Source organism: Homo sapiens, chromosome 17, assembly GCF_000001405.40.
Source record: "Homo sapiens chromosome 17, GRCh38.p14 Primary Assembly".
In the NCBI taxonomy this organism is placed as follows: domain Eukaryota; kingdom Metazoa; phylum Chordata; class Mammalia; order Primates; family Hominidae; genus Homo; species Homo sapiens.
This window is the reverse complement of record NC_000017.11, coordinates 64,020,969-64,031,611: the sequence shown is the minus strand read 5'-3', so window position 1 is coordinate 64,031,611 and position 10,643 is coordinate 64,020,969. Positions and strand designations below refer to the sequence as shown.

General features: G+C 46.3%; 4 annotated features.

Moving 5' to 3' along the window:
- Positions 5,462-5,907: a transcriptional cis regulatory region, noted in NCBI's record as "candidate enhancer chr17.4315 targeted for multiplex CRISPR interference". NCBI's record gives its function as "positively regulates ICAM2 gene expression with high confidence in K562 cells {active_cell/tissue: K562}" and the evidence as "EXISTENCE:mutant phenotype evidence [ECO:0000015][PMID:30612741]".
- Positions 5,815-5,864: an enhancer, noted in NCBI's record as "active region_12574". NCBI's record gives its function as "activates an Ori minimal core promoter by ATAC-STARR-seq in GM12878 lymphoblastoid cells {active_cell/tissue: GM12878}" and the evidence as "EXISTENCE:reporter gene assay evidence [ECO:0000049][PMID:35858748]".
- Positions 7,009-7,446: a transcriptional cis regulatory region, noted in NCBI's record as "candidate enhancer chr17.4314 targeted for multiplex CRISPR interference". NCBI's record gives its function as "positively regulates ICAM2 gene expression with high confidence in K562 cells {active_cell/tissue: K562}" and the evidence as "EXISTENCE:mutant phenotype evidence [ECO:0000015][PMID:30612741]".
- Positions 10,540-10,589: an enhancer, noted in NCBI's record as "active region_12573". NCBI's record gives its function as "activates an Ori minimal core promoter by ATAC-STARR-seq in GM12878 lymphoblastoid cells {active_cell/tissue: GM12878}" and the evidence as "EXISTENCE:reporter gene assay evidence [ECO:0000049][PMID:35858748]".

Sequence of the window (10,643 nt, the reverse complement as noted above, 5' to 3'; positions counted from 1 at the left end):
AGTGCCAGTTATTCACCCAAGATTCATCCTCCCCTCTTACTAATGGAGACCCTATTTTTTTTAGGGAAGCAACGTGCTCATTTTAAAAGGCTGAACTCCCCAGACTCTCTTGCAGCTGGTGGTGTCCATGGAACCCAGTTCCAGGCACTAAGATGTAAGTGGAATTCTGCTGGGTGCAGCTTCATAGCAAGCTCTCATTTTTCTGCTAAAAAGGACTGTTCCATCTGCATGTCTCTGTGTCCTTTACCCTTGTTACCTTTTCCTGTCTGGAATGCTGTCACCGACATGGAGGTACAGTAGCTCTCTCTCAACCAGGAGGTCTAAGTTATGCCCTAAATACAGAGGAGCATTGGCTGGGCACTGTGGCTCATACCTGTAATCCCAGCACTTTCAGAGGCCGAGGCAGGCAGATCACAAGGTCAGGAGATCAAGGCCATCCTGGCTAACACGGTGAAACCCCATCTCTACTAAAAATACAAAAAGTTAGCTGGGCATGGTGGCAGGTGCCTGTAGTCCCAGCTACTCAGGAGGCTGAGGCAGGAGAATTGCTTGAGCCCAGGAGGTGGAGGTTGCAGTGAGCTGAGATTGCTCCACTGCACTCCAGCCTGGGCAACAGAGCGAGACTCCGCCTAAAAAAAAAAAAAGGCTGGGCGCGGTGGCTCATGCCTGTAATCCCAGCATTTTGGGAGGCCAAGGCGGTCAGATCACGAGGTCAGGAGATCAAGGCCATCCTGGACAACGTGGTGAAACCCCATCTCTACTAAAATACAAAAAATTAGCCGGGCGTGGTGGTGCATGCCTGTAGTCCCAGCTACTCAGGAGGCTGAGGCAGGGGAATCTCTTGAACCCAGGAGGCAGAGGTTGCAATGAGCTGAGATCGCACCACTGCACTCCAGCCTGACAACAGAGCAAGACCCCGTCTCAAAAAAAAAAAAAAAAAAAAAAAAGAAAAGAAAAAAATACAGAGGAGCAAATGGTAGAATGGTAGAAGAAGCCCAGTTGGTTGATGCGTCTTTGATGTTCACCTCTTCTGGACCACAGCCTTCAGACTTCTTGTGTGAGAAAAAAATCTTACTGACGGAGCTGCATTAGTTTGTTTCTACTACATGAAGTGAAACCAATTCCCAATCAATGCACACGGGAAAGCTGAAAATAAAGACATAGGACCTGGGCGCAGTGGCTCACACCTGTAATCCCAGCACTTTGGGAGGCCAAGGTGGGTGGATTGCTTGAGCCCAGGAGTTCAAGATCAGCCTAGGCAACATGGTGAGACTCCCATCTCTACAAAAAAAAAAAATACAAAAATTAGCTGGGCATGGTGGTGTGTGCCTGTAGTCCCAGCTACTCTGGAGGCCGAGGTGGGAGGATTGCTTAAGCCAAGAGGTGGAGGCTGCAGTAAGCCGTGATCGGGCCACTGCACTCCAGCCTGGGTGACAGAGTGAGACCCTGTCTCAAAAAAAAAAAAAAGAAAAAAGAAAACACACACACACACACACACACACACACAAACCATAGAAAGAGAGACGGAAAAGCTCAACACTGTTCAACACTGTAAAGATGTCATATGTGACCTCAATAAAAATCTGAATAGGTTTCTTGTAGAATTGCATAAAGAACAGTAACCAATGACTAGGAGAGCTCTGAAAAAGAATAATATTAGGGCATTATCCTTCCAAATGCTATAATATTATAATTAAGACAGCATGGGCCGGACACGATGGTTCACACCTGTAATCCCAGCACTTTGGGAGGCCAAGGCGGGTGGATTTGCTTGAGCCCAGGAGTTCAAGACCAGCCTGGGCAACACAGGGAGACCTTGTCTCTACAAAAAAATACAAAAATTAGCTGGTGTGGTGGTGTGCACCTGTAGTCCCAGCTGCTTGGGAGGTTGAGGTTGAGGTTACGTGAGCCTGGGGAGGCCTAGGCTGCTGTGAGCCATGATGGTGCCACTGCACTCCAGCCTGGGCAACAGAGTGAGACCCTGTCTCAAAATTTTTTTTTTTTTTAAATAAATACATAGAAAAAGATGTAGCAAACAAATATTAACAAAATGCTGGTTTAGCAATACCAATCAGATTCTATAGAATTCAGACAAGATCAGGCATGTTCAGAGTGCTATGGCTGGCTATAGACAGAATTCAAAAAGAAAAGGATTGAATGGGACAGAAAAAGATATTTCATTTTTATCAAAAAAAATAACTGAATAGAACATATAAGGCACGAATCCTTAGACACCTAACAACATAGCTTCAAAATATATAAGGCAAAAACTGAACTACAAGGAAAAATTGTCAACAATGGATATTTTAACCATTTTTCTCACTGATCAAATAGACCCCCAAAAATTTAAGATGTGGAAGATTTGTACAGCACAATTAGAAAGACCGATCAAATAAATGGTAAAATATTTTCATAACCAGTAAGTGGGGTCCAGAAATACAACCATATGATTTGCGGAGCTGCCTTATTTTGAGGTTAATGAGTGGCCTTGGAGAGCCTGCACAGCTGGGGTTCCCCATCAGCCCAGGCCAGCTAGGTTTAGTGCCACCTGGTGGCAGTTGTCTCCTCCAGAATAAAACACTTAACCTTTACAAGGTGGAATATGTTTTTATTTATATTTATATATTTTTTGAGACAAGGTCTTGCTCTGTTGCCCCCCTAGGCTGGAGTGCAGTGGTGGGATCACAGCTTACTACAGCCTCAACCTCCTGGGTTCAGGTGATCCTCCCACCTTAGCCTTCTGAGTAGCTGGGACTACAGGCAAGTGCCACTATGCCCAGCTAATTTATAAATTCTTTTTTAGAGATGGGGTCTCATTCTGTTGACCAGGCTGGTCTCAAACTTCTGGGCTCAAGCAATCTACCTGTGTCAGCCTCCCAAAGTGCTGGAATTACAGGCATGAACCATCGCACCTGACCAGAATATGGTGGTTGTTTTTTTTTTTAATCTTCTTTGTGCTTAGTTCAGATTGTCTTTCATGAATATGAATTACTTTAAGAATAAAAAACTACATTTTTCTAAGCCCCTACCCTTCTTGTCTATAACATGAAGAAGGCAGTTTGAATGAGCCCTAAGATTCCTCTAGCTACACAGGGCTACGAGTCGGCACCAAACAAGCCTCCCAGCTCTTGACATTGGCTGCACCGACTCTCCTGGTTTATAGCTGCATCTGCTCCAGGGCCCTCAAGCTTGTGGCCTGGGCTGAATCACCCTCTGCTCTGAGCCTGTCATTGTTTCCCAGGCCTTTCCCATCTCAGGAAAATTTTCCCCAGTGTTATCCTCTCCCTCTCTCAGCCCCAGGTCTAATTCATTCCTTACTTTTTTTTTTTTTTTTTTTTTGAGACAGAGTCTTGCTCTGTTGCCCAGGCTGGAGTGCAGTGGCGTGATCTCTGCTCACTGCAACCTCCACCTCCCAGGTTCAAGTGATTCCCCTGCCTCAGCCTCCCTAGAAGCTGGGATTACAGGTGTCCGCCACAACCCCCGGCTAATTTTTATATTTTTAGTAGAAACAGGGTTTCACCATGTTGGCCAGGCTGGTCTTGAACTCCTAACAGGTGATCTGCCCACCTCAGCCTCCCAAAGTGCTGAGATTACAGGCCTGAGCCACTGCACCTGACTGTCCTCTACTTTTGTAGAACACATTACTCATCTCTTTGCTCATCATTTTCCCCCCACAGATTTGGACTCACCAGTTGACACATTTAGGGCAATTTCCCAAAGTTTATATCTCCAAATATTAATTCCAAAGCTATTAAATTATTTAAAAGGCCTCAATCACCAAATCTGGGAAATGCCAGATTAAATAAAAGTTCCATATTTACAGCAAGACTTTTCAGAGGCTTTTAACATGACAACAAAATATTCTCCAAGAGGAGATATAACACATTTATCTCCAATTATTGCCTTTGATTTAAAAAAATCAACAAAGGAAGTATGTTTGTTATGGCAAAGACAATGCTATATTTTCACCAAATCTTTTTGCATTTTCCTCTTTCTGGGTACTCAGGAAGACAACACTCTCAGCCACCACTGCAGTTAGGTTGGGGCCATGTGACTAATTCTGGCCAATGGGAGTAGAAGAGACATGTGTTGCTTCTGAGCCACAGTCTTGAGGAGCAGAACACGCTCCTCCAGCACCTTCTCCCTTGGACACAGTGATCGGTGATTGTGGAGGCCTCCCAGCTACTCGGGAGGATGAGGCACTAGAATCGCTTGAACCCAGGCGGCAGAGGTTACAGTGAGCCAAGATCGCGCCACTTCATCCAGTCTGGGCGACAGAGCGAGACTCCATCTCAAAAAAAAAAAAAAAAAAAAAGTGTGTGGCACCTCCTGCTCCTGTTGCTCCTGCTTTCGCCGTGTGATGCATCTGCTCCCTCTTTGCCTTCTGCCATGATCGGGAGCTTCCTGAGGCCTTCCAAGAAGCAGATGCTGCTACGCTTCCTGTACAGCCTGCAGAACTGTGAGCCAATGAATCCTCTTCCTTTATAAATTACCCAGTCTGAGGTATTCCTTTACAGCAATGCGAGAACGGCCCACCTCCTTCTTCCGGGGCTGCAGAGGGAAGAAACTGAGGGATAAAGAAGGATGATGGTGAAAAGAAAAACATTTTAAAACCACAGCTACTGCTTAGCACACCTGCTCCTCCCCTCCCACGGGTGAACCATGCCGGCCTCTCGATGTGGCAGAGTGGGGAAATATTTGTTTTTTATTTATTTTTTTAGACGGAGTCCCGTTCTGTGGCTCAGGCTGCAGTGCAGCGGGGCGATCTCGGCTCACTGCATCCTCCGCCTCCTGGGTTCAAGTGATTCTTCTGCCTCAGCCTCCCGAGTAGCTGGGACTACAGGTGCGTGCCACCACGCCTGGCTAATATATATATATATATGTGTGTGTGTGTATATATATGTGTATATATATATGTGTATATATATGTGTGTATATATATGTATATATATGTGTGTGTATATGTATATATATATGTGTGTGTATATATATGTGTATATATATGTATATATATGTGTGTGTATATGTATATATATGTGTGTGTATATATATGTATGTACATATAGATATGTATATATATTTGTAGTTTTAGTAGAGACGGGGTTTCACCATATTGGCCAAGCTGATCTCAGACTCCTGACCTTGTGATCTGCCCGCCTCGGCCTCCCAAAGTGCTGGGATTACAGGCGTGAGCCACCGCGCCCGGCCCAAATTGATTTAAAACGAACAAAAACAAAAACAAAAAACAACCTCATCTCTCTCTTGGATTTTGCCTCTGCTCCCTGCCTCTGGCATCTTTCCTAAGGAAACTGTTTATTTTCCCACCTGAGTTCCTAGTAAAGCATCTCAGTTTTATTCCCTCCTTTGCAGAAAAGCTTAGAGCAAGAAAAATGGCAGCTGGCAGGTGCCTTCACGTCCAGGGTTTCCAGAGAGAAAGCATCTCTCCTCCGCAGAGACCCTCCCACGCTCTCCCTCCCTCAAATTAGTGCATCTACATAGACCGCCCTCCTTATAAACAGTCTCTCAGGGGATCCTAGCCCATTCCAAATCTACCTGTGATTGCAGAATCGCAAGGAATGTGATTTACCGCAGATCGCGGGGCGTCGTGTCTTTTAGGGGACCTGCTCACTTTGGCCACTAGGTGGCGGGCAGTGCAGCCCCTGCTCCTGTCGACCCTGAGCGTTCAGCGTTTCCGCCGCCTCCGCCCCACTCCGTAGGGGGAGCTGATGAGATGAGGTTGAGGTCCAGGAAGACGTCAAGGGCTTGGTTTTGTAAACAACTCCATTCCTCGCTCGCTGATAAGTTTTCTAAGTGATGCATATTCACAACCTTGTCCCATCCAAGGACCCAAGAATTAACACATTACATAATATGGACAGCCCCCTCCTGTCCAACGGGCATGATTTTGGGGTCTGATATTCTGTGGATCTGTGCAATAGTCAACACACGTGCTGGGATGTCCTTGGGCACAGCCTACAAGGACACAGATAGGTGCACGTCCGGGCACCAACTCACAATAACCACAAACTTTGTTGAGTGCTTCCGTGTACCAGGCTATCAGCCAGCGTTTTACAAATCATCACACTTTCCTCTCAGAAGCCCTTGAGGGGGGGTCTGAAGGGGGTGAGAGGGGCTCCCTAGTATGAAAGCTCAGACGTTGGGTCCCAACTGCCTGGATTGGAATCTTGGTTCAGCCTCTTGCTGGCTGTGTGCCAGCTACTGCCCGCCATCTACTGTACCATGTCTCACGTTCTTCATCTGTAAGAGGCATAACAACAGTATCGAGTCATAGGCTTGTTATGAGGATGAAATGTGATGATACTTACTGTGGAGTGCTTAGAACAGTGTGTGGCATATGTAGTAAGCATGTCACAAACGTTGGCTATTATTATTATCCCATTTTGCAGATAAGCAAACTGAAGGTCAGAGAGGTTACACAACTTGCTCAAGGTCACACAGCCTTATAATTCCACTCTGCCAGACTGAGCTCACAGTCTCTGTTAGTCAGTCTATAGGCTGGTGACACCTCTAGTTTCTACTTGTGGTTTTGATTAGCTGGACGCTATGTGAATTGAGAACACTTTCGTATTCCGCTGAAACAGTGTGGTCCTCATTTCTAAGAAGTTCCCGGGTGATACTGATGCCAGCAGCAGCGTCATTACCTGGGAACCTGTTAGAAATGCAAAAAATTCTCAGGCCTCCCTCCAGACCTACTACTCAGGAACTCTAGGGATGGGGCCCGGTGGGCTGTTGCGGCAAGCCCCCCAGTGATCCTGACACACGTTCAAGTTTGAAACCCCTTGCTATAAAATATGTGTCTCCTAAAACCAAGCTGCTAGCTTACATTCAATAAACATTTACCTAGCATGATCTTGGCAGTTCAAAGAGGAATGTGCCAGAAACCAAGCAAAGAAGAAAAAGAAATAAATGGAAATGGAAAGTGATCTGCTCAGAGGCCACAAAGTTGAGGGAGGAGGTTTCCAGAGTGGGATTTGGCCCAAATGTTGCCTGAGGAAGTACGTAAAGGGGTCTCAACTCTGGCTACACAACAGAACAGCAGGACTGTGTGTGCAGCTCACGAAGTGGGTACACAGGGTAATCTGCAAGTTCTGGGTGGATCTAGCACCTGGATTGTTAAAACTTGCATAGATGGCCAGCGTTCATACTTTCTGCTTGTTTGTACAAAGTCATTCTTCTAGAGTAATTGTTGTAAAATTGCTAGGCAAGGTGGCAGGTCTGATAAGATTTGATGACGTAATGGCTCTTAGTCGCTAATAAGAGGCTTTTGTGGAGTGGCGTGTCACAGCCAGCGAAGGCTCAGCTCTGTGATCTTCGCCTGCCTCACTTGGGGGACCAGAAGGCAGCTTGTCTTGGAACTGCCTCATTCACAGAAGACCCCATTGAGTACAGAAACTGCACATCAAAGGGAGGAGTAAGGAAAACAAGATGGTGAATCCTCAAAAATTAAACAAAATTACCTTTTTAATTTTTTTTTTTTGTAGAAACGGGGTCTCACTTTGTCACCCAGACTGGTCTTGAAGTCCTAGGCTCAAGCAATTCTCCCATCTCAGCCTCCCAAAGTGCTGGATTTACAGGTGTGAGCCACTCACCTCAGCCAGAATTACCACTGAAAAAAAGAAAAAAGGTTAAGATGGTAAATTTTGTTGTGTATATTTTACCAGTATGATCCAGCATTTCCACTTCTGGGTACATGCCCCAGAGAATTGAAAGCAGAGTCTCGATCAGGTATTTGTACAACCCTGTTGATAGCAGCACTATTCACAATAGCCAAAGGTGGAAGCAACACAGGTGTCCCTCAATATATGAATGGATGAACAGAATGCAGCACACACGCACAATAAAATATTACTCAGCCTTCAAAAGGAAGGCAGTTCTGGCCAGGCACAGTGGCTCACTCCTGTAATCCCAGCACTTTGGAAGGCCGAGGCAGGCAGATCACTTGAGGTCAAGAGTTCAAGACCAGCCTGGCCAATATGGTGAAACCCCGTCTCTACTAAAAATACAAAAATTAGGTGGACATGGTGGCAGATGCCTGTAATCCCATCTACTCAGGAGGTTGAGGCAGGAGAATCCCTTGAACCTGGGAGGCAGAGGTTGCAGTGAGCTGAGATCACACCATCACTGTCCTCCAGCCTGGGCGATAGAGCAAGACTCTGTCTCAAAAAGAAAGGAAAAAAAAAGGATAAAAAAAAGAAAGAGCCAGAAGGTGAGGTACCATGATGCCAACCTTGGACCAATCATTTGACCAGGAAGGTGGAGCTGAGTAGGAAGATGGAAGCTTCCCAAAAAACTTGTCTAAAGTAGAAAAAGAAGGGGTTATCTTTAAAAAAGGGTGAGTCCAAACATGGCTCCTGGAGAAATTGTCCCAAATGGGACATCCACCCCCATTTGTGTCTATGACAGATGCCACCAAAACATTAAAGTCACGTGGGCCCTTCAAAGCTCTGGGCCCTGCTGCCTCCTTCCCACCATAGTCATTTTATATTGGCTCTGTTTTGCCAGCAGTATGACAAGGAGATTCCAAAAAGAACTGAGCTGAAGAAATTGATGCACACAAGCACCAAGAGAAATTGCGCCAGAGCAATGTGTGGCCTTGACTGTCCTCCTGGCCTCTGAATGGTCTAATTTGTGACTTTGCTAAGCCAGAAGTTTCAATGTGCTGTGAGGCTGGCCCGTGGGAGCAAGATCCTCTGCTCGTGGGTGAGCCTAGCTGGCTGCCCGCCACCCACCTCTGCACCCAGTGTTCATACTTTCTGCTTGTTTGTACAAAGTCACTCTTCTAGAGTAATTGTTGTAAAATTGCTAGGCAAGGTGGCAGGTCTGATAAGATTTGATGAAGTGATAGGTCTTAGTCACTAATAAGAGGCTTTTTTGGAATGGTGTGTCACAGCCAAGGAAGCCTCAGCTCTGTGATCTTCGCCTGCCTCACTTGGGGGACCAGAAGGTAGCTTGTCCTGGAACTGCCTCATTCACAGAAGGCCCCAGTGAGTACAGAAACTGCACATCAAAGGGAGGAGTAAGGAAAACAGGATGGCAAATCTTCAAAAATTAAACAAAATTACTTTTTTTTTTTTTTGTAGCGATGGGGTCTCACTTTGTCACCCAGGCTGGTCTTGAAGTCCTAGACTCAAGCAATCCTCCCACCTCAGCCTCCCAAAGTGCCGGATTTACAAGTGTGAGCCACCAAGCCCAGTCAGAATTACCACTAAAAAAAAAAAAGAAAAAAGGTTAAGATGGTAGATTTTGTTGTGTATATTTTACCATTATGATCCAGCATTTCCACTTCTGGGTACATACCCCAGAGAACTGAAAGCAGAGTCTTGAGCAGGTATTTGTACAACCCTGTTTGTAGCAGCACTATTCACAATAGCCAAAGGTGGAAGCAACACAGGTGTCCATCAGTATATGAATGCATGAACAGAATGCGGCACACACGCACAATAGGATATTGCTCAGCCTTCAAAAGGAAGGCAGTTCTGGCCAAGCGTGGTGGTTCATGCCTGTAATACCAGCACTTTGGGAGGCTGAGGTGGGCGGATCATTTGAGGTCAGGAGTTCGAGACCAGCCTGGCCGACATGATGAAACCCCATCTCTACTAAAAATACAAAAATTAGCCAGTCGGCACGTGCCTGTAATCCCAGCTACTCAAGAGGCTGAGGCAAGGCCAGGCACGGTGGCTCATGCCTGTAATCCCAACACTTTGGGAGGCCAAGGCGGGCGGATTGCCTGAGCTCAAGAGTTTGAGACCAGCCTAGGCAACATGGTGAAACCCCATCTCTGCTAAAATACAAAAGAAATTAACCAGGCGTGGTGGCGTGCACCTGTAGTCCCAGCTACTCAGGAGGCTGAGGCAGGAGAATTGCTTGAACTCGGGAGGCGGAGGTTGCAGTGAGCCGAGATCACACCACTGCACTCCAGCACTCCAGCCTGGGCGACAGAGTGAGGCTCCATCTCTACAAAACAAACAAACAAACAAACAACAACAACAACAACAAAAACACTGAGGCAAGAGAATCGTTTGAACCTGGGAGGCAGAGGTTACAGTGAGCCAAGATCACACCACTGCACTCCAGCCTGGGCAACAGAGCGAAACTCCATCTCAAAAAAAAAAAAAGAAAGAAAAGAGAAAGAGAGAGCTCCAGAGATGGATGGTGGTGATGGTTGCAGAACAATGTGAATGTACTTAGTGCCCCAAACTGTACACTTAAACATAATTAAAATGGGCCTAGCACGGTGGCTCATTCCCAGCATTTGGGAGGCTGAGGTGGGAGGATTGCTTGAGCTCAAGAGTTTGAGACCAGGCTGGGCAACATAAGCAACACTCTGTCTCTACAAAAACTACAGAAATTAGCCAAGCCTGGTGGCTGCACACTTGTAGTCCCAGTCACTTGGGAAGTTGAGGAGGGAGGGTCACTTGAGCTCAGGGGTCAGAGGTTGCCACGAACTGTGATTGTGCCACTGCACTCCAGCCTAGGTGACAAAAGCAAGACTCTGTCTTAAAAACAACACAACAAAAAATTGGCTGGACGCAGTGGCTCTTGCCTGTAATCCTAGCACTTTAGGAGGCCGAGGAAGGCAGTTCACTTGAGGTCAGGAGTTCGAGACCAGCCTGGCCAACATG